At 37.6% G+C, this 24,893-nt stretch overlaps 1 long non-coding RNA gene across 1 annotated transcript in view; it reads left to right on the forward strand.

Moving 5' to 3' along the window:
• LOC101928849 (uncharacterized) overlaps positions 1 to 24,893 on the forward strand; it is a 128,376-nt gene that overhangs the window by 77,157 nt on the left and 26,326 nt on the right. Inside the window, exon 5 of the long non-coding RNA XR_001746918.2 lies at positions 21,896 to 21,963. This is a non-coding gene — a long non-coding RNA (uncharacterized LOC101928849). The remainder of the gene's footprint in view (positions 1 to 21,895; positions 21,964 to 24,893) is intronic.

The raw sequence follows: 24,893 nt of genomic DNA on the forward strand, positions 1-24,893 counted from the left end.
TACTCTCTGTTCTTTCTTTATTGGATGTAATTTAACTAGGTTTATGTGGGTTGTCAGACATATTTTATATATATATAAAGTTTCTTCATTACATATATATATATGTAATGTACATACCAATTCTGCTTTTCTTTCAAAACTATCTAATTTAGCTACTAGTCTTCAAGTATCCAAGAAAAGTATGCAGCATACTAGGTAATAGATTCTTCCAGGGGTATGATGGCAAGTGTTTAACATCTGACTGCAGCGGAGAAAAAAGGCCCTGACTTAAGCCTGAGTCATTGGCTAAATTCTGTGGTATAAATACTCCTACCATGGCTCATTACAATCTACCGACAAGACAGCACTGAACACTGGAGTCAGAAGACATGCACAATAGCACATGATTATGTAGTACTTGCACATAAAGATAAAAATAGACATAAATAAAGTCAAGAACATAGATGATGGCAAAATGTAGAAAATAATGAACAAGTAATGAGTTTTAAGGATTTATTAACTTTGTTTTTAATATAATTTATTTAATTGTAACTGTATATAAGTTATATAAGTTAATGTTTACTAAGGATTCAGATTAACAGCTGGCTTGCAAAATTCCTGAAAATGTATAAATCTGCTTGTGAACCAGTACAGGCTGTCCCTGATACACCACTCGGCCCTTCTCTGTTTTTAATTATGAGGTTATATTTTGACTAAGTTCGAGGTGAAAAATAATGTTGGCATGGTCTGGATAAATGTGCAGGTTGGGGAGACTAAAAAGATAAATGAAGAGTATCCATTTATTTTAACTCAGCAACAATAGTATATATGTGTTATATAATAAATAATGTGTTTATGTAATAAACTGTAATGTATATATTACATTAGCATATATTGGTTTATATAGTGTATATATTAGTATTTATATATTACAGTAGATAGCTAGTCAGGCATGAGCAGGGCAGGAGAGGGCTCCACCTGTGACACCAGGAATATGAGCCAACCATCAGGTGATGGTAAGGTGGTTGTTACACTGTTTATCTAAAGTAATAATTGGTCCCAGCAGGTGCCCGTGAAAGACAGTCTCCCAATAGATGGAAAAATCTTGAAACTGGTGAGCAGCAGCTTCCTGATAAGATCTCAGGAATCTGACAAGTGGGCTCAAGCATGTGCATTAAGAGGCAAAATTGTGGCATTTAATTGGCATATGAGCTTTCAGGGACATTCAACTGGTAAGGGAAGAACGCCTCAAGTGAGTGTGCATACAACTTCAGTGAACACACTGAGCACGCGGCCCCTCCCAAGTGCTGGCAGGCCACTGTGCAGGCAGACAGCCCACCCCAAGGGAAGAATCAGGGGAGAAGTAACAATAATGCAAGACACCAGAAGAATGCCAACATATAAAATCCCAAGTCAAAGGTCAAATGAGGCACTTGTCTTTCAAGCCCACCACCTTGTCCTCTTCCAAGTGGGCTTTCCTTCCTTTTGTTCCTACTCTAAAGCTTTTTAATAAAATTTTCTTTCTGCTCTAAAACTTGACTCAGTCTCTCCTTCTGCCTTCTGCCTCCTAGGTTGAATTCTTTCTTCTGAGGAGGTAGAACTGAGGTTGCTGCAGACTCATATGAATTTGAGACCACTAACATATATTACTAATATATATACTGTACTAGTATTTGTACATATTAATAATATACATACAAATATATATTAGTGTATATGCTAATATATCTAATAGTCTTAGATATATAAGTATATATGTATATATGTATTAGTCTATATATATAGACTAATCACAACTCATTCTTATGTATCCATAAAATGAATCCTCTAAAGCTGAGCCCTCAACCACGCTTAATTAAGTTAAAGCATTTCTTTGTGTATTTCAAGATCAATTATTATTATTATTATTATTATTTTCTGTAAACTTAGCTATATGATTCAGACCATGAGTGTTTCTGAAGCTCCAATAAGAGAAATATTCCATGAACTCCACAGAGGATGAGACATACGGCAGCCTTGAAGTACGTTTGGAGACATAGAGAAGAAAAGGTAGAGTTAAAAACAGAGACTTTGGTAATAATACATATATATGTTGCCTCTGATAATTTGTGGAATCAGTGGAATATTGAGACTTATAGAAAAGTTTGAGCTTCAAACTTACAGTTAGTAATTTTGGCCTGTTTTAAGGATAATTTGTAATCACTTGGACAGAAAATTTCTAATATAAGAAAGAAATAAAAACTTGAGATATTTAAGTTTTTCAATCAAATTAATTAATCATATGAACAGAATCATATGACTATTAACTACCTAAGAGAATAGTAACCTCAAGAACACTTCAAGAAATTTAGATGAACCCATTTTCATGCTGACCATGTATAGATTATATATAAATTTGATATTATGTATAGATTATATATGTATAGATTATATACAAATTTGATATTAACTAAGAGTTTTGAGAGAATCATTTTAATGTTCATTGATGTGGCGATTTTACTGCAATTGTAAGGTGGTACATGTGTGCCTATGTGTCTAAAAGATAAACAGAGTGAGATTAAATACATCTTCTGTATACATGTATATATGGATTTAGTTCTAAAATAGAAATCAACTTTTACATTTATAAAACACATGAACACAATCTCACTTTCCCTTTTTAACACTATATATTAGCCTTGACATTGTTTAAGTCATGGGCAATTTAAACATCTATACATAAGTGTGTACATCTATCTACATTATGGATACTTCTACATCTATAATGATAAAACTAACATTTTTTGTTACTTACTCTGTGCTAGGCTTTTCTGAGCACTTTACATAAATTATCACCTTTATTGGTAATAATTGCCACAAGAAAAAGTTATAATTGTTATCCTCATTTTACCCATATGAAACTTGAGTCACAGAGGTTAAGTGACTTGCCAAAAGCCACACAGCTGTTGGCAAAACCATGTAATGTTTCTCTAAAATTCATGTTATTTACTGGGACATAATCTCAGCTTCTTCAACTGTGATGTTATCATTACCATAATAGTTGGTAACAAAAAATACTCTATTTGTTCACTTGAATTCAAAGCCTCATTAATTGTTGGAAGTTAGAAAAGTGGGCTGCACAATTAGAACGTGTCTTTCTCTTAAATACTTGTGTCAATTTAGTGCCGCCTTCTCTAAAAAACTTCCATGAATACCTGCCTTGGCCTCTTGTTACCACTACCATACTTTTAATATCTCGCTGTCAAATTCTCCCTCTCCAGTTTCTTCTATTCACTTTGCAAATGATCTCAGACTTAATCTCAACGATGACTGTTTCTATTTATATATTGCATTTATTTCTATTTGCCTCTTTTTGATTTTAGCATTTTACTTATCTACTACAAGTCTATCCCAGGCATTTAACATTTTTTAAACCTTACTGAAAATTCACATTCCTTTAACTTAACTTTACCTGTTTCACTTGGGAATTATATTGCTTCATAAGCTCTTTATTCATTGGTGAGTACATTTTTACCAACATAAAATTTAATTCCAACTATGTGCCAAACAGAATTTAGAACACCTGGGATACAGGGATTAAAAATAAAAATAGATCATCCCTAGCCTCAAGGAGCGAGTCTCTAACTTCACTGCATATTAGAATCACTGGGATGTGTGTGTGTATATATATATATATATATATATACACACACATATTTATATATATTCTTGGGAATATATATGAATTCTTAAAGCGCAGGCTACACTCCACACCAATTAAATCAGAAGCTCTGAGTAGGAAAATCCCAGACCATAGTTTTGTTTTTTCTTTGTTTGTTTGTTTTGTTTTGTTTTAACTTCTCAGGTGATTCCAATGTGCAGCCAAGTTGGAGAAATACTCTATTACGGGACACAAACATATCTAGAAATTATTAATAATAGAAATGTGCACAAAGTACAGAGGTAGCAGAGGCAAAATAATGATGTACTCTGCTTTTGGAAAGGGTCTCAGAGGATTTCTTTGGAGAGAAGCTAGGTTTTATTTAATGAAGAAGAAAGGGTGAACATTTCAAGAACCCTAAGCATATCCATGTTGCCTGAACATAAAGTAGTAAACAAAAAGTGTCAAGAGAGGAGATTTAAAAAGCGGTCAAGAAGAAAGATCATGAAAACCAATCTATGCTTTTTTAAGGAGCTTGTACTTGTATTCTGGCTAATAGGTTAAACTTTAAATAATATACAAAAAGACCCCACCATACTTACCTAAATTTTAGTGGAAGTAGTTAACGGGTAGAAAGAGACTAGCAAAGAAATGGGAGACCAGTTAGGAATTGTTGCAGTATTCCACCAAAAGTTGAAGGTGGTCTAGATGAAGATAGTGGTAGTGTAGGTAAAAAAAAAAAAATGAAAGGATTCATGATTCATTTTGGAAAAGAGTCTACACTTACAGATAGATTTATAAGGGATTGGTTATTAGTGATGAGAGAGGGAGAAAAAAAACAGAAAGACAGAGATAGAGAGGGGGAAAGAGACACAGAAGATAATTAGAATCACAGGAGATTTTATTTTTTTGGCTTAAGAACCCAGATCTGTACTGAACTCATTTTTCCAAAAGAGGATGGCTGAGGGGAAAAACAAACAAAACAATTTTGGGAAAAACTTACTCAGTTTCCCCCAAACATTCGGTTAAGTTCAGTTTTATCCACTTTAACCTTGAGATGTTTATGGAAATGGAAGACACAGAGTGTGTCTAAAGCAGAGAGAGTCATTGATTGTGTTAAAAGATCCTGAGGATGGTAAGAACAACATACATCAGGTTATTGGTGATTTTGATGACATATATTCTAGCATGGTGGTGATACAAATCGAAATGGAGCAAGTTGAAGAACAAATGAAAGATGAGGAAGTTGAACTATCAAGTTAACAATGTTGAGGAGGGGGAAAACGTGAAGATAACTAGAGGGAAAAATGAGGTCAGAATAAAGTTTCTTTGATTTAATGGGCAATAGTATATGTTATGTATGCTCATGAGACTGATTCAGCAGAAAGGGAGAGACTGATGATGCAAAAGAGAGGAAAGAAGGAATATGTGTAAAGGAAAAGCCCTTGAAAAAATGAAAATTGTTAGGATCTAAAGTTCATATACAGGGACTGACTTTTGATAGAAGAATATGGGTAAAGAAGCAGGTGGATTTGTGGATTTGTGAATATAAAGTGAAGAGGCTCCAATCAGATGGCTTCTGTTTTTTTAATGAAGGACTGTCATGTATGGTAACTCCTTTTCCAATCTACTGTGATACTTTTAAGTAGTAGGCTACTTGTCTCATTGAAACTTCCAGAAAAGAAGGCCTAGCAAAATTAGCAACAGACATGGGGGAGAATCATAATGACAATCTATATTATCACTAGCACCACTACTTCTATTGTTGTTGTTGTTGTTGTTGTTATTATTATTATTATTATTATTATTATTTGAGATGGAGTCTTGCTCTGTCACCCAGGCTGGAGTGCAGTGGTGCGGTCTCGGCTCACTGCAACCTCCGCCTGCCAGTTTCAAGCAATTCTTCTGCCTCAGCCTCCTGAATAGCTGGAACTACAGGCACGTGCCACCATGTCCAGCTAATTTTTATATTTTTATTAGAGACGGGGTTTCGCCAGATTGGCCAGGCTTGTCTCGCACTCCCAACCTCATGATCTGCCCACCTTGGCCTCCCAAAGTGCTGGGATTACAGGCATGAGCCACCGGGCCCGGCCGTAATTATTATCATCATCATCCTAGCACCACTACTTCTATTGTAATTATTATCAACACCCCATTATTTCAACTTTGATTTATTAAATGTTACTATGTGCCAAAAACTGTGCCAACAACTGACATTTATTTTATTGAAAAGGTTTACTGAGAAAGGTTTCAAGCTGGGTATAAACAGCTTGTTTCTTGTTTCTGCTTAAAAATAAGAAACATCTTACTTGAATCATGTTCCTCCACAAGGCCCAGTGTGGCCTTTCATGGAGTAGGTATGATAGGTGAATTTAAAAATGGGCAGATAAATGTTAACCAGTGCATATGTCACGCTGCTGATGTATCTGTTTCTTTGTTTTTCCTCACTGGTTCTCTGCTATGAGTGGTACCGTGCTTGGCTGACACCCAAAAAAAAGAAACAGGAATGGAAGAGAAGCTAGACTTGGGTATTTTGTCCTTGAGTAGGACAGTGGTGACTTGAAGTTGTCCACAACTCCTGAAAGTGTCATGAGAGGGCAGGATGGCAGAGAGTATGTTGGTAACTGGATAAGTTCAAATAGAACAACAAGTGCATTTAGTTATTTCTCTAAACGAGTGCATTTATATTCTCTAAACTAGTGCATTTAGTTTTCTCTAAAGAAAGGAAGTGGGCCAGGTATAGTGGTTTACACCTGCAATTCTAACACTTTAAGTGGCCAAGGCGGGAGGATTACTTGAGCCCACGATTTCGAGACCAGCCTGGGCAACATGGTGAAACCTTGTCTCTACAAAAAATACAAAAATTATCTGGGTGTGGTGGCATGCACCTGTAGTCCCTGCTACTCAGGAGGCTGAGGTGGAAGGATAGCTAGAGCCCTGGGAGGTCAAGGCTGCAGTGAGCCATGATTACATCACTGTACTCCAGCCTGGACGACAGAGAAAGACCCTGTCTCGAAAGAAAGAAAGAAAGACAGAAAGAAAGAAAGAGAGAGAGAGACACAGAGAGAGAGAGAGAGAGAGAAAGAAAGAAAGAAGGAAAGAAAGAAAGAGATTAAAAAGAAAATATAAAAAGGTGGTGAGGTATGTGGGAAAACTAAACCAAAACAAGCAAAATGAAATAAATATCTATTGAGTGCCCATTGTATTTAAGCCTTATACTTTAAGATTTGTGAGGTGTTTGGTACAGGGTGTGTGTGTGTGTGTGTGTGTGTGTGTGTGTGTGACGTTTGAGCCTGACAAGGCAGGTATTATTTCTCCCGTTATCTGGAGGAAAAAAAATTCATGAAGCTGGCAAGTGGCAGAGTGAAGATTAACATCCAGGACTAAAAGATTTTACTTTCCTCTCTATCTCACTGAAGCTCCAGAAATCTAGTTCATAACTTCCCTCTTCCTCTTTACCTTTTGCATAGTGATAATGCCATTGCACAACGATGAACCAACACGCAAATCTTCACTCTAGTGTCTTTTGGACCAAGATTGTGGTGTGGAACACTAAGAATGGCTTTCTGGGAATTAGTTTAACTTCTTTCTACTCTCCCTAAGGAATGTTCTGCCTCCCTTCCTTCCCATCTGTCTAAGCTCTTCTTATATTTCCTATTGAAAACATTTGGATCTCCTATTCCTCTCTACTCCCTTACTTGAATGACAAATCTTTGCCAGGGCTTTTAGATAATTCAGTTGATGAATCAGAGCAGTGGCAGTATTTTACTTTTGACATAGTTTTAAGAATAAAATTAACTTTCTCCCCTACCCCCCTTTTTCCCAAAATTTTTTTAACTTTTATTTTAGATTTGAGGGTACATATGAAGGTTTGTTATATAAGTAAGCTCATGACATGGGGGTTTCATGTACAGATTATTTCATCACCCAGGTATTAAGCCTAGTGCCCAATAGTTATTTTTTTCTGCTCCTCTCCCTCTTCCCACCATCCACCCTGAATTAGAGCCTGGTGTCTGTCATTCCCTTTTTTATGTCCATGTATTCTCATTATTTAGTTCCCACTTTTAAGTGAGAACATGCAGTATTTGTTTTTCTTTCCTGCATTTGTTTTCTAAGGGTAATAGCCTTCAGCTCCATCCATGTTCCATCAAAAGACATAATCTCATTTTTTAATGGCTACATAGTATTCCATGGTGTATATGTACCACATTTTCTTGATCCAATCTGTCATTGATGGGCATTTAGGTTGATTCCATGTCTTTCTTCTTGTAGATAGTGTTACAATGAACATTTGCATGCATGTGTCTTTATGGTAGAATGATTTATATTCCTATGATGATATGCCCAGTAATGGAATTGCTGGGTCAAATGGAAGTTCTGCTTTTAGCAATTTGAGGAATCACCACACTGTCTTCCACAATGGCTGAACTAATTTACACTCCCATCAAAAGTGTATGTGTTCCTTTTTCTCTGCAACATCACTAGCATCTGTTGTTTTTTTACTTTATAATAATGGCTATCCTGTCTGATATGTGATGGTATCTCATTGTGGTTTTGATTTGCATTTTCCTAATGGTCAGTGATGTTGAGCTTTTTTCATATGCTTGTTGGCTGTATGTATGTCTTCTTTTGAAAAATGTCTGTTCATGTTCTTTGCCCACTTTTTAATGGGGCTGTTTATTTTTCTCTTGCAAATTTGTTTAAGTTCCTTATAGATGCTGAATATTAGGTCTTTGTCAGATGCTTAGTTTGCAAAAACTTTCTCCCATTCTGTAGCTTGTCTGTTTACTCTGTTGATAGTTTCTTTTGCTGTGCAGAGGCTCTTCAGTTTAACTAGATTGCATTTGTCAATTTTTGCTTTTGTTGTGATTGCTTTTGATGTCTTTGTCATGAAATCTTTGCCTGTTCCTATGTCCAGGATTGTATAGTCTAGGTTGTCTTCTAGGTTGTTTGTTTATAGTTTTGAGTTTTACATTTAAGGCTTTAACTCATCTTGAGTTGATTTTTGTATATGGCATAAGTAAGAGATCCAGCTTCAATCTTTTGCATATGGCTAGCCAGTTATCCCAGCACCATTTATTGAATAGGAAGTCTTTTACCATTACATGTTTTTGTAAGCTTTGTCAAAGATCATATGATTGTAGGTGTATTGCCTTGTTTCTGGGCTCTCTATTCTGTTCTATTGGTCTACGTGCCTGTTTTTGTGCCAGTACCATGCTGTTTTGAATTCTGTAGCCCTGTAGTGTAGTTTGAAGTTGGGTGACGAGATGTCTTCGGCTTAATTCTTTTTGCTTAAGATTGCCTTCCTTATTTGGGGATTTTGGTTCCATATTGATTTTAAAATATTTTTTTCTAGTTCTGTGAAGAATGTCATTGGTAGTTTGATAGGTATAGCATTGTACCTATAAATTGCTTTGGGCAGTATGGCATTTTAATGATATTGAGTCTTTCCATGAGCATGGGATGTTTTTCCATTTGTTGGTATCTTCTCTCATTTCTTTGAGCAGTGTTTTGTAATTTTTATTGTAGAGATCTTTCACCTCCCTGGTTAGCTGTATTCTTTACTGGGTGTCTACTCTAGGCCAGGATATTGGGCAGGTACATGAAAAAAAAGAAAAAAGGAACTAGCTTATAGTGAGTGGCTGCAATAATATCAGTATTATGAAAATGTGACCTCTCTTTTTCACAGCTCTATATAATTGGTACTGCTATTTCTCAGAGACAGAGGTAGAGATTGATTTTCAAAGATTCAGTAACTTGTTTAAACTCACAAAGCTAATAAAGGAGCTACAGTTTCAACCAGGTGGGAGTAACTCTAAAATATTAAATATGTTCTTCTCACTAACTCCACCCTGCTGCCTCCAGAAAATGAAGAAATCAGTGCCACTTTCAAGTATTTTAAGGACTAGTGGTAAAGTGAGTCTCACATGTGAGTAATCACTGTTCACTGTTGTAAAATACTGGCCAAAGGTAATTATTAATGGTACAGATGTTGAAGTCAAAGGAATTAGAGCACTCATCCTGGCTCTGCCACCCTTGGTGACAGGACCTTAAGCATGTGCTAAATGTATCTAACACATTTATTAGGTAAACTAAATGAGAAAAGTTATATACCATGTTTAGGAACAATCCTTACATGTTAAGCATTTAATAAATGAAAGCTAGTTATTAATACTAACATTAATGGCTCATAAAAGGTGAACATGAAGTACAAGAGAAACCAAGAACCCAGAGCCACTGACTTTCCCTGGGAAACTGCATGGAAGGCTTGATAAAGAAGACCACAATTTGAATTAGATATGACTGAAGAAGATTGGCGTAGAAAGGGACTGCCAGGGAAAATGTAGAGGGCATGAACGGTCCGGACAGCCAGGTAGGGCTGGAGTGTGTTCAACTCCCTCAGGCCTTAAACGTCTTGCAGAAGCCTTTGAACTTTGTTGTATAAGCCACAGGAAACCCTTAGACATCTTTAATCGAGAGAGTAATGTGATATTGTTGGTTTTAACATCACTGTGACTACCATGTGATGTGTCGTCTAGAAGACCGAAGAATCTGCTCTCACATTCTTCATTCCTGCTGCATAGACACCCTCTTGGGTCCTGGATGTCTCAGTCTGTGAAATCACATTCAGGGGGTATGGGTGTGGGATGGGGAGAGACAGAGAGAGAAAGCAAAACAACCAGAGGGGGGAAGGCAGGTCCCAGGAGACCCAACAGAGATGTCCTCACGTTGTTCTAGCATGAATAAAATGAGAAAAACAAGGAGCACATTACAAACAAGAACATGTGTATGCATTTATTAACATTTCCAACGTGGATTTAATTTTCGGTGCGCATCTCGCCTACACAGAGCCCAGTGTGTTTCAGCTAACCTCTCGTTAAGTTGCGTGCAAGCCATCTTTTTAACGTGTCCTCTAGGAAAATCTTCAAAGAGATTCTGTAATCTTGCTTCTAAATGGCTTTCAAAATGCTGTTTATATTCATTCTTTTACCAGCGTCCAGCTCTCACTCTTCATTCATCACGCCCCACTCCCTGTCAACACACACATGCACACTCTCTACTATTTGAACCTTTACCTTTTAGAGCAAAGAGTGGCTTTCCATTTTGGCAGGCACCTTGGTAGAGTTGAAGCAAAGTATATGAGCTTTGGGATCAGACAGACCTGGCTCTGCCACTAACTGGCTGTTTTGTCTAGGACACTTATTGTCACCTTTACAAGGCAAGAGATCACCGTTTGTAAAATTTGGACAGTAATAGAAACTGCCTCTGTGTTATTGCAGTTTAAATGAGATGGTGTCTACAAAGCTTTTAGCACACCGCAAGGCACATATGAAACACACTAAATTGTATGGCTATTCTCAATTCTTTCATATTATTATTATCATCCTCTAGAAATGAGTTCATATGGTGTTTTTCTATCAGTTATTAACTACATTTCTTAATGTGTGTTAAGTTTTATCATTTGTAAACAGTATTAATATGTAAACATTTATCTTGCAATGTTGTATTAGGACAAAATTACGTGAGCTAATACTTATTGAGTCTTTTTTATATGCCCAGCACGAATTCTAAGCAATTTATGTGGTTTATTTATTTTAATACTCTTAACTATTAATGAAGTAGGCATAATTAGTGCCCTTATTTTATAAATGGGAAGAGTTAGGTACAAACAGGTTAAATAATTTGACAAGACCACAGAGCTAATAAGTGGTATTAACATTCAAACCTATGTACTGAAGCTCTGGAGCCTATTTCAATCTCCCTACTCCACTTGCCCCATGAAATAGCAGAACTGCAAGCATCTGGCATGGTTCACTAGGCTTAGCTGATTTGTAATGTTAATTTCATTCACCAGATCCCTCCCTGACACGGGAAACAAATATGGCCTCTGCAGTCTGAGAAGAGCAAGGGGAGGATAAAAGTCAGGTTAGCATGACAATGCAAGATGTGAATAAAGTGACTATATGTCATCATGAGAGAACCAACTTTGAGCCCATTGGTGTACATGGCTTGGGATAAAGGAATAAGCAAGAGAAGTAAATGATCTGCCCTCAAGAGAAGTTGGGGAAGTAAATGCTCCCTGCCCTCAAAGAACTTTATATCTACTAAAGGAAGTGGCATGTGTGTCATTCCCAATGACCCAATGCATATTTACAAATGAACCTTATGAGGTACTATAGATTTAGGAGAAAAGATATTCATTTCCACACTGTAGCAAAAAATGTGATGATCACAGGGCATTTTTTTTTAAAAAAGGAATAATATAAGCTCTACTAGAAAATAAAGTAGGATATATTCTATAATACTCCCCATTCCTAGTCCATTCCCCACTTGAAAATGAATAAAAATGTTGTGAGGAGATAGACTTAGGATAAATGTGTACATTTACCCTTTACATAGGTGAAAGAAAATCCCTGCAATGCATCCCAGAAGATTGTGGAAACAGCATATCTAAATGCACAGTAGCCTACATAATGCATTTACATAGATGATAAAAAACCATATGGGTGTTGAGCCAACTCTTCAATCGACCTGACAACTGTCCCTTAAATCAGTTTGTGAATAAAAACATCTGCCCAAAGGAGTAATAGACCAAATGTAGAAAGATAAATCAGGTGTGTTGTATTTTACCAGGTTTTCCATGAGGATCAAGTACGATCACCTGGATAACAGAAACCTAGCAATAGCATATATTAAAGGGATTGTTATGGCTTCTACTATTGTTAACCTTACTCAATCCAAGGTTCAGTACCTTTAGTAACAGTCAAGAACCAAGACATAAACACAAATAGACCTGAAGGATTTCTGTCTGTGTTTGTTTGATATAGGGTGTTGTTGTCTAGGCTGGAGTGCAGTGGAGCAATCAAGGCTCACTGCAGCCTCGACCTCCTGGGCTCAAGCCATCGTCCCTCAGCTACTCCTAGGAAGCTGTGTGTGTGTGCGCGTGTGTGTGTGTGTGTGACTACAGGTGTGCACCACTGTGCCTGGCTAATTAAAAAAAAAATTAATGTTTTGTAGAGATAAGGTCTTACTATGTTTCCCAGACCGGTCTCAAATTCCTGGACTAAAGTGATTCTCCCACCTCAGCCTCCCAAAGTGCTGGGATTACAGGTATGAGCCACCACTCTCAACCCTGAAGGAATTTTTGATATCGTAAGCAGCTTGTTTTTAATGGTGTTCTTGTGGCCCATTCCTGGTCACACAATTTCCTGAGAACCAAGAGGACGGGGAGAAGCACACAACAAAGTCAAGCCACACATTTAGCACAAAAACAAGGATGCCATCTTGGAACAATATTTCTCAGTCTTCCTGAAACCCATATTACCCTTTGGATAGACATAAAAATTTCATAATCTTGGTTAATAGCACTTCAAATGTCAAAGTAAATACTTTCACAGGAAAAAATTAAAGGAACAAAAAAATTTAACAAAGAGACAACAAATCATAAAAATGGCAATTTTTTATCCTTTTTTTCAAACTATCTCTCTCTCTCTGACACACACACACGCACGCACACACACACACACACACACACACACACAGAGTTTTTCCTCAGGTTCTCTGGGGAATGTCTCCTTTCCCTCCTGGCTCTGACAGATGAAAAGTGACTATAGAATATTTGGCAACTAGGATGGACACTGAGGCAAACAAAACCAATAGGCAAAAAACATAGAAAACAGGTAAATTTTAGTCCACTCAATACAGGAATATACACCTTTCTACAAACTGGTGGATCCTGAGGTTTTCACTGCATCACAGCAAGAGCAATTGTCAGTTTTCATAACCATGACTCTGAGGTGCTAAGATAAGGTACCGTTATGTCCCAAACCTTCTGCTTAAGAAAGTAGTTACAGTCGTAGTGACAGGGGCTTGATTAGATCTCAGATCTCTGGAGTTCCAAGTGCTTCCCATAATCTCTCAGCTACCTGGAAAATTTATTACTATTCCGTTATATATCTTGAGTCATAATTTTCTAATTTATATTTTTCTTTGCACATTTTTCCCCAGGCTTGTGTGTATGTGTGTGTGTGTGTGCGCCCTTGAATTAAAGCCATGATTTTGGTGTTTGAATCCTGGGTCTATCACTTGTTGCTGGGTAAATTTGTGTTTAAGTCACTTAACTGTTCCAGAATACACTTTCTTATTTATGAAAATTTACACTTAGAAGGTGTGTGACTTTGGACAAGTTACTTACCCTGTTTCTTCCTCATTATTCTCATCTGTGATCTAAGCATTACAATGCCCATCATGGAGTTACTTTGATAATTCAGTTAAAGAATGTAAAGGGAACCTGATTTCTCAATAAATGTTTGACATCTTTGATTATAAATTATCAATATGGTAATTAATGCAAATAATATCATTACTGCTAATAAGGCATCATTTTATTTACTTGTAAACTTATTGAGGGTAGCAGCTAAATCTTGATATTTTGTGTCCACCAGATGATATATAAACGTAACAAAATAAAATAAAAAGAGTACATAATGTGCAGTAGATTAAAACAAGCAAGCAGTCCTGAGTAGTGGCTCACACTTGTAATCCCAGCACTTTGGGAGGCTGAGGTAGGAGGATCACTTGAACCCAGAGTTTGAGACCAGCCTGGCCATCATAGCTAGACTCTCTCTCTCTCTACAGAACATTTAAAAAATTAGCTGCATGTGGTAATGCACACCTGTAGTCCCAGCTACTTGGGAGGCTGAGATGGGAGGACTTCTTGGGTCTGAGATGTCAAGTCTGCAGTGAGCTGGGATCACACCATTGCCCCTCAACCTAGGCAACAGAGGAGGACCCTGTCAACAACAACAACAACAAAAAACAATATTTGGTGGAAGTTGTATATGTAATTCCATCACAATGTCATTACAATAAAGGGAAATAAGCTGTGCAGCTTTCTGCTGCCTATGTACCAAGCTAATGCCTCTAGGCTTAGCCCAAGAAATCTTTTCAGGCTGTGTGACCCAGGAGAACCTTTGGGAACTCAGGAACCTTGGCAGAAACTACTAAGAGTTAGGAAAGGAGATGGGGGCAGGTAAGGGAGGATCTTCCCAACTCTTTCTTTGCTCAAAGAATCTCCTAGCTAAAAGTAACCCAAGCACTGGGAAGATTAGGCTAAACCATCCTATAAACAGTAAATTAGCCAAAGAGAACAGGGAACTAAGATTCTGCCAAACATAAAATTAGTACACTAGGGGCCAATGTTTGTTGTTTCTTTGTTTCGAGGAAGAGTCTTGCCCTGTTAGCCAGGGTAGAGTGTGGTGGCACCATCTCGGCTCACTGAAGCCTCCTGGGCTCAAGTGATCCTCTCTCCTGGGCTCAGGCAATCCTCCCACCTCACTCTCCCAAGTAGCTCAGACTACAGGCACATGCCAACATGCTTGGAGAATTTTTTTTTTTAATTTTTTGTACAGGTGAGGTCTCAGTATATCTCCCAGACTGGTCTTGAACCTTAAGCGATCCTCTCACCTCCACCTGAAATCCCAAAGTGCTGGTGTTCAAAGTGTTCAAACCAGCACAGTGTTTACTGGTTTCATATTTTGCAATTTTAACAACTGCTTAAAGAAATAAATTATATAGGCCGGGCGCAGTGGCTACAACTGTAATCCCAGCACTTTGGGAGGCCAAGGCAGGCTAATCACACAGTCAAAAGATACAGACTATCCTGTAGATCAGGTGAAACCCGATCTCTACTAAAAATACAAAAATTAGCCGGGCGTGGTGGTGGGTGCCTGTAGTCCCAGTTACTCGGGAGGCTGAGGCAGGAGAATTGCTTGAACCTGGGAGGCAGAGGTTGCAATGAGCTGAGATCGCGCCACTGTACTCCAGCCTGGTGAAAGAGCAAGACTCATTCTCAAAAATAAATAAATAAATAATATAAGTATTATGCATTCATTTCAGAGAATTAGAAAAATCAGAAAACTACGACTCATTTGTATATAATCTTAACAGAACATAGATTTCATTAATAAGAATTATACTGTATATTATTAGCATAGATTTTTACAAACTTTTCATTTTTATTTTATACACTCAGCCTTTGATTCATGTAAAATTATGGATTTCTTGCTCTGCATCAGTCATGCCTGCTGTGTCCAGCATCAGGAACTTAGCACAATCTAATCCCTCAGCTTTGAATGCTTCTCTTTTGACTTGTCACATGACACATTCCCTTACTTTCTTTATCCTTCTACTGAAACAGTCACCTTGTCAGAGGCCTTCTCAGGTTGTAAGATAAGCTCTGTGAGTTCAGGGCCTTTGTTTCATTTGTATCATATTTCTAGAATCTAGTACAGTATCTAGCACATTGTATGTGCCCAGTAATATTTGCTTAACACATGCAATGTTGAGTAAGAAATTATTTTTTTCCCATTCAGAAGTCAAGGGAAATGATATAAGTGAGGTGACAGGGCTTGCTTATGGCTAAAAAATAGCAGAATAGGACATCATGTCAATTCTCCTAATTTCTAACCACATGCTGTCTCCCACTTAGCTCGGTTCTGCCTCTGATGTAACTGGCTGTGTGCACAGAGCCAGCACGGCTCTGCATAGAGCTGTAGCAATGCAACATGCTCAGTAAATGGATCTGAGTCCTGGTACTTAAGGGAAAAAAAAAGTGCACCGTTGTACAATTGACCTCCTATTTATCTTTTTGAGGGCCCCATTTTGGGAAATGCTAACGGGAAGAAAATAAATAGCTCCAAAGCAGCCGCAGGAACTATAAACCCTATCTTTGTTCCAAAGAGTGGCCCTTGCCCCACTTAGCCTATAGAATCATGTGTTGAGGACTTAGCCCAAGCTCTGCCCCATGATCTTGAGCCGGGTGCATCCTCTCCAGAACTCATTAGTGCACATCTGTAATATGTCTCAGTTGGGCCAGATAATCTCTAAGCCCCATTAAACTTTAATACCTTAAGCTCTGAGTAGGCTTGTTGCCCTCTTCCCCACTAAGGAGACATGTCTCTGGGGATGGAGAGGGGACACATTGGGTACCACTAGTGTGAGATGAGCAGTAAATCCAGGGTCCTGACTTGGCTCTTGGATTGGTGGAAGAGAAAGCATGCAAAAATAAAACACTGTTGCCAAGTTTTTTTAAAAAATAAAAAGAAACACATTTTAAAGAACAAAATCTGTTACCTTTCTCTCATAAAAGCAACACCAGGCCTGGAGATAATGTGAGCAAAAATAAATATGTGGGAAAGTTTTTTTGCTGCTGCTTCTAGCAGTTTTCTGATCTCTTTCTCACTTCACACTGACTGTCAAATGGTCTATCAAGAGGTTAGTTTGTAATTAAACTCAGCTCTAATTGCTGGAACAAGTTACTAATTGTGTTCTTAAATCCTTTTATTCTATACCCCAGAAACCAGTGCTTTCTAGCCTTTAAATGCTAGTGGTTTGAGAGAATCACATAAGTACAGCTTTTAGCAGAAATTTTGTTCATTTGAAGCTTTTACCCAGAGCATCAATCAAGAAAACTTAAAAACATGAAACCAATTGGTGAAGGGAATAATCCTCCCTCCACAACAATAAGAAAAAATAAATTGAGAAATGTTCTGTCTTCTCTCTTCTGAATTGTAGATAGAACCATGTTTAATGGTTGGTTTATATATTAAGACCCACATTCAGGTATCTATCCATTTTGAACAGAGGTTTGTATCTTTAAAGGGTCAGTTGGGTGCTTTTGAGAGGTGGAAAATCTTTTCAAACCATTCAAATCCATTTATTGAGTCACCACACTTTGAAAAAGGAATGTAAGTAATGCAAGTGTCAGTTTAATTTGAATTTGGGTTCTGCAGGGTAAACAAAGTAGTTAGTTAATCTGGAAGAGTAGAACTTGGAAGAAAAGCAGAGAAAATACACCAGTTCAGACTTGGTAAGTGTTTGTTTGGTGCATGTAATGCTGGTGGTGGCTGGTGGCTCAAAACATTTTAAATGTCTTTCTATATTTGGAAAATGTGGAGAGTATTTTCGGTTTTGTCTTCAGGCTGAAACTCCCCAGTTAGCCTGTGTAAGTCTTTGAGTTTGGTGGCAATGACCCCATCTTCAGGCTCTACCCCTTGCGCCTGGCCACAGTAATATGGTCACTGGACCCAGGATGAACCCATGACATCCTCATTCTAGCCAATGAAGGCAAGTGAGAATGAGGTCCAGATCTTCATTTGTGTTAGCAGAGAAGTCCATGTTTTCTCTTCTGCTGAATTTGAACATGGACGCAAGCAGCCCAAGGGAGCAACTATCTATTGTATTTGGTTCCCCCAAAAATCGTGTGAAATCTTTTCTAATTTTAGAAGATTTATTTTAGAGTTAGCCACTTTTGCTTATAACTAAAAATCCTGACTAATAAAATCTGGAGCAGTTGGAGCAATCTGGTTTCCACTAGAGAAGCCAGACATAGGACAAAGCTGATATCACTATCCAGGAGACTGAGAGGGAGAGAGAGAGAGAGAGAGAGAGAGAGAGAGAAAGAGAGTAGATTTTGGTGACATCATCAAGTTGCTTCATCAAAACTTACCTACAAATCTAAAAATATATTTCTAGCTTTTCCTTAAGCTATATCAATAAACTCCCTTTTATTGGTTCCAAGAACATTTTCTGAATATTAATCATGTGGCAGACAATGATCAAGGACCAGGTGTGGCATTAAACAAGAAGTCCCCCCGACCCAAGGTGAGGAGAGAGTAAAATAAATCGTCATGAGCAGCATAACAACGTTTCAGTCAACTACACAATGGTGGTCCCATAGGACTATAATGGAGCTAAAAAAAATTCCTCTGGCCTAGTGTGTAGCCATACCCACATTATAGTGCAATTACTTAATTTTTAAATAAACTTAGTGCAACCTAAGTGAACAGCATGTATAAAGTCTGCAGTAGTGTACAGCAATGTCCTAGGCCTTCATATTCACTCAGAACTTAATAATTTATTCTTGCAGAGCAACTCCCAGTCCTGCAGGTTCCATTTGTGATAAATGTCCCATATACTGTATCATTTTTTATCCTTTATGCCATATTTCTACAGCATTCTTTCTATGTTTACAGATGTTTAGATATACAAATATCATTGTGTTACAACTGCCTACGGTATTCAGTATCATAACATGCTGTACAGGTTAGTGGCCTAGGGAACAATAGGCTGTACCATATAGCCTAAGTGTGTAGTAGGCCGTACCATGTTGGTTTGTGAAAGTAAGCTCTATGATGTTCCTACAATGACAAAATTGTCTAGTGATGCATTTCTCAGGACATATCCAGGTTGTTAAGTGACACATGACTGTAAGTAAACAAGAAAGTAGACAGAAAGATAAAATTAAAACAGAGTATGTGCGTTTACTAGGGCTGCCATAACTAAGGACCCCCAAGTAGGTATCTTAAACAACAGGCATTTATTGCCTCACAGTTCTGAAGGATAGAAGGCCGAGTTCAAGGTGTCAGGAGACTTGCTTCCTTCTGAGCGCTGTGAGGGAGAATCTATTTCGTGCCTCTCTCCTAGATGCTGGTGGTTTGCTGGCAATCTTCGGCACTCCTTGGCTTGTAAATTCATCACCACAGTTTTTGCCTTCATGACAGTCTTCTCTTTGTCTTCACATTGTCTTCCCTCTGTGTGTATGTGTCTTTGGGTCCAACTTCCCCTTTAAAAAGAAAACATCATATTGAATTAGGGCCCACTCTAATGAGCTCATTTTAACTTAACTAATTACATCTTCAAAAATATTATTTCCAAATAAGATCATATTTGGAGGCCCTGAAGGTTCCAACTTCAACATATTTTGGGGTAGAGGATGGGAAAGTAATATAATTCTATCCATAACACAGCAAAATGAGAATAGGTGACTATGGGAATGTCTTAATGTGGAAGATCATAAAATTCCTTCCTGAGGACATGATATTCACTCTTATAACTAAAAGAGAAGATGAAAATAAAAGAATAGATCTATTTAGAGAGAAAAAACATTTCAAAGAAAAAAGTTAGTGTATATTTCTACATGTTACATACTAAGAAACAACAACAAAAACAGTCAAAAAAGCAGCAATAAAAAAGTCTTAATACAAAAGACTAAAGCCTTATGGCTTCAGTCAATTTGAACTGGATATGATATAATTTGAAAGTTAAAGAGGTAAATAAGTAGAATTCATCTTAACAATTCTTATTAGAGTTTTACTTACGATCTGTAATTTACTTTAAAAAATCTCTAATCCTTATTTTCTTTATGGCATAGTGAGGTTACTTTTAACTTCTTGCTTTGATGCTTGTTTGATATCATGATCTTTGGTTTTCTTTGATGTCAAATTTTACTAACCTGTGCATTTCTGAAATCGGGAGTCATCTTAGTACCATTTATCTCTCTGGTGTCAATCATATGCCTGACAAACAGTAGAGCCTTAGCAAAAAACTCAGTGAATGAAAGGAACTTTATTCTAGTTTAGAAGCAGTGGTATGCCAGTAAGTGTTTGACAAGTCCTCTCCCCCGCAAAATCTGATTTTTAGCATGTGCCAATTTCCAGGCTGTAAATACTCCCATCGTGGCTAATTTCAAGCTACCAACATGACATCACTGAACTGAGGACTGGGGAATGGATGCACATAATCAGATTTTGTAAGCCAAGGCCAGCCAGCTCCAGCACACCACTTTCCAAAGATCTGTTTCAGGAGTCTACCTAGGGAAATTGTTCATGCCTTGGTATCAGACTAACTTAGGTTGTTGATTTTTTTTTTGCTAGCACTTAAAGATGTGCTGTTGTCAGAATTTTATTTATTTCGATAAGTGTCAATGTCCTCATCTGTAAAGTAGGAATAAAACTTGCTCCAGAGGATTCTTATGAAAATTAAAATTAATGATCACTTACAAAGCAACTAATAGAATAGGGAGGATAGAAAGCAACTAACATATGTTAGCTTTGTTTTTAATTTTGTTGGTGTTGATAGAAAAGTTTTCGTGTCTTTTGAATTCTGTCACAAAGTTGAAAAATATCTAAATGCTGCAATAGGACATGGGATCTTATCTGACTGTAAACCAACTCTTACTATTGACTCTAAATCTAGAAACATTGCAAAAAATGCAGGTTTTTGAATGGGCATCATTAATTAGAAGTTGGTATCGTGGTCATGATGCTTCATCTATAACTGGTTTCTGGCTACAGAGAAGGTATAATGTCAGCTTTTGAAATAAAAATAATGAAGAGATGGCTCAAATGACTAAAGTATGAGAGAAAAAGTAGAAAAATTATGAAGGGCTGGAAGACCTATCACTCTTATTGAAGACTGCTTCATTTATGCCTATATTGATTTTATTCCTCAAAAGGAGAATAGACAGTCAGACTCCATCTTACTGTAGAGGGCTGCAAACCCAAGTAGTAAGAGTCAGGCAACTGAAAAGAAGTAAGTGAAATGAACTCAGTGTGTTTGTAAAAGACAGAGAGAAATGGAAAGGAGGAAGGAAGATAGAACAAAAGGAAGGAAGGGGACAAATTAGACTAAAGAGGACATCCAAAAGCATTAACATTTTAAAATGCTTGATGACTTTGCAGACTGAAATAAAACATGTGCCCTATGGAATGGATTCTGGCCCCCAGGCCTCAGTTTGAGACCCTGCTCTATGTTGAGAAATGTGTCAAGCCTGCTCCTAGATTCAAATCGATGAGTCAGTTCAGTTTTTAATGGAGAGAAATAAAATCAATTTAACTTGACTTCTTTCTACTACATTGGGCTTACTTATATCTGATTGTTATTTTTAGAATTTTCTTTTCATCCACAATAAATGTATGCTCATTGTAAATAATTCAAACAGAAGAGCATATGGCATAAAGTAGAGTACCATCAAAATCTGCCACTCAGAATACAATTGAAAATTTTAGTGAAATTCTTCTATGCCTGTGCATACGCACACACATGATAAACACACAATGAATGCTACGTATGATTTTGCAAACTAGGCTCATGTTATGTGTGCTCCTTTTTAATGAATAAATTACTAAGAATGTATATTCAATCACTGTAGTCTTAAAATCCCGGTTCTACAATTTAGTAAATTTTGGTTCAAAATATGGCATGAAGTAATCATAGTTCAGAGATCAAGGTCTCCTATCTAGTCAGTTTCTCCCTTGAAATAATACATTTCTTCTTTTGTCTCATTTCTGAGTTAGGGGACAGAGGGGCAAACTTGTTTCAGAAAAGAGGCAAAACTATTGTTAGGAATTTATCAACCTTTACTTATCTCCAATTTTTTTTTTCTCCTCATTGTGTTTTATCTCCTTTCCGCTGATTTTTTTTTTTTTTTTGCAGATGACCTTTCATCTTATTTCTCATCTGCTGGTCCCATCAACCCTAACTTTGTATCTGCTAAAACTCAGGTAATTGCTTTTAGATGGGTATAATTAAGAAGCCATTAGTGTAAAGTTTCATTTCAGTTTACGCCTTGGTCTGCATTTGAGCAGAGAAATATAAAATTAAGGTATTAGCTCCTTTCATGAGTATGAGTCACGAGCTAATAAGTTTCAAGAGCAGTTTCTCAACTGTAATGATTGTGCTTTTCTCTTTGAAAATTTTCTCTTCGGAATACTTATAGAGGGAGTATTTTAAAAGAAAGGGGAACAAATCTATAGGGGCAGATGTGGATTGGGTGCATGATTCCTGAAATGCAAGTGTCCATGTTGCCCTACAAGGGTCATATGGGGTCTTTTAAAAGTAGCTGTTGTGCCCTGTTTGAGGGCAGCTGTGAGAGACATTGTAGAGGGAATTTATGCCCTGATGAAGGAGGAAAAGGCAAACTTAATGTGATTCAGGTGAGCCACCTACAACAGTCGTTATTAGAATTACCTGATATTATTAGTTTCCTATGGTTGCCATAACCAATTATCCCAAACTGGTTGTCTTAAAACAACAGGAATCTATTCTTTCACACTTCGGAAGGCCAGAAATTTGAATTTGAAGTGTTAGCTGGGCTATGCTTTCTCTGTAAAGACTGTAGAAAATAATCCTTCCTTGCCCCTAGCTTCTTGTGGCTCCTGGCAATCCTTAGCTGTTTTTTACTGGTAGCTACACCACCCCAATCTCTGCCTCCATTGTCACATGGCCTCCTTCCTGTGTATGTATTTCTTTGTCCTCTGTTTGTCTTATAAAGACACCAGTCATTGGATTTAGGACCCACTCTAACTCAATATGACCTTATCTTAACATTAATATCTACGAGGCAAAACATCTACATCTTAAGTTTCCATCTGCAAAGACCCTATTTCCAAATAAGGTCAATTTCTGGGTTCTAGGAGCACATAAATTTTTGAGAAATATTATTCAACTGACTACATCTGGGAATATTTTTAAAATCCCAGTGCCCATGCTGCACCTCAGATAAATTAAATTAGAAACCTACGAGGGTACATATTGGAATCACTTGGGGAGCTTTAAAATAAACTAAAGCTTGGGTCTCACCCTTAAAAATTCTGATCTGTAATATTGGTATTCTAACAAGTACACTGGATTGTTAGGAAAAATTATTAAGATGATGTGAAGAGCCCAGCAAAAGCCTGGTACATAACATGTGGTCAATTAGTATTTTCTTGTTGATTGGTTTATCTTGATTGGTTTAGAAGCATATGGACCTAATTTCACATATGTAAAGATGCAGTGTTCAATTAGCATTAATCCCCTTATTCTGCCTTTATTTGGACTACTCTGATTATCTTCCTTACATTTCTAGAATCAAGGTTTCACCTAGTAGATGGTTTGCCATTACCATAGCTCTCACACATTCTGCTTTCCTGATAAACAAATATTTATTATCTCTTCCACATTTGAGTCCAATTGCCATCCTCTTCCCATGTTCCATTTTTTCTTTGTAAAATAGGTCAACTTATAAACCCTAATCTCCTCCAGCCTGCCAAGATGACTAACCAGGGTAGCTGTCCCAGGACGGAGGGATTTTCCGAAATGTAGGACTTTCAGTGATAATACTTAGACATAAGCAAACCAGCATGGTGGTCGCTCTTTTTCCCAGTCGCCCCTGGTAACAGAACATGCCTACTGTTACCACAAGAATATTACATATATTAGAAGTGCAAGCTTCTTTTAGAGGAAATAGAACCCATTTAAAGTATGATACTCATCTTCAAGTCTGTATAGGAGCTATCAGAGGGAAAAATAGAAAATAATAATGATGACAATAATGAGAATATTTATTGATCACTTACTTTAATCCAGTTTCTGTTCAAAGGCTTTTACAGCTATTATCTAGTTAATCCTCACAGCAAGCATATATGGTGAATGGCACTATTACCTTCATTTTCTTTTCTTTTTTTTTTTTTTTTGAGACGGAGTCTCGCTCTGTCGCCCAGGCCAGACTGCGGACTGCAGTGGTGCAATCTTGGCTCACTGCAAGCTCCGCTTCCCGGGTTCACGCCATTCTCCTGCCTCAGCCTCCCGAGTAGCTGGGACTACAGGCGCCCGCCACCGCGCCCGGCTAATTTTTTGTATTTTTAGTAGAGACGGGGTTTCACCTTGTTAGCCAGGATGGTCTCGATCTCCTGACCTCATGATCCACCCGCCTCGGCCTCCCAAAGTGCTGGGATTACAGGCGTGAGCCACCGCGCCCGGCCTACCTTCATTTTCTAGATGAAAAAATCACAGTTCAAGCAGGTTATGGGAGTTCTGCAAGGTCTCACAATATCTCTGTTTGGGCTACTATAAAATATTACCTTAAACGAGGTAATTTATAAACAATAGAAATGTATGGATCACCATTTGGGAAGTGGGGAAGTCCAAGATCAAGGTTTCAGCAGATTTGGGGTTTGATGAGGGCTGACTGCTTTAGAGACGGTGCCTTCTACGTAGCCTCACAAGCACAGGGAACAAACAAGCTCTATAAAACCTCTTTTACTAGGGCACAAATCCCATTCGTGAGGGCACAGCCCTCATGACCTAATCACCTCCCAGAGGCATCACCTCTTAATACTGTTGCATTGGAAATTGATTTTCAACAGATGAATGCTGTGGGGATGCCAACATTCAGAACACATCACATAGCTAGAATGTGTTTTGGCCCAAATGCAAACATAGGCAGTTTGGCTTCCACACTGGTGGTGTTAATTCCTATGCCATTTTGGGTGCACAACGAATGCAGAAATATAAGCCAGAGAAGGACAGAAACACTGTTTTTGATTGGTGTGTTATGGAAAGCAATCACAGATGAGAAGGAATTGAATTGGCATACCTACAGCTAATAATGAATCATGACTTCCCTTAAGTGGTTAACTTAAAAAATGTTAGTTAAGCACCTAATATGTGT

This window comes from Homo sapiens, chromosome 9 (genome assembly GCF_000001405.40).
Source record: "Homo sapiens chromosome 9, GRCh38.p14 Primary Assembly".
Lineage (NCBI taxonomy): Eukaryota > Metazoa > Chordata > Mammalia > Primates > Hominidae > Homo > Homo sapiens.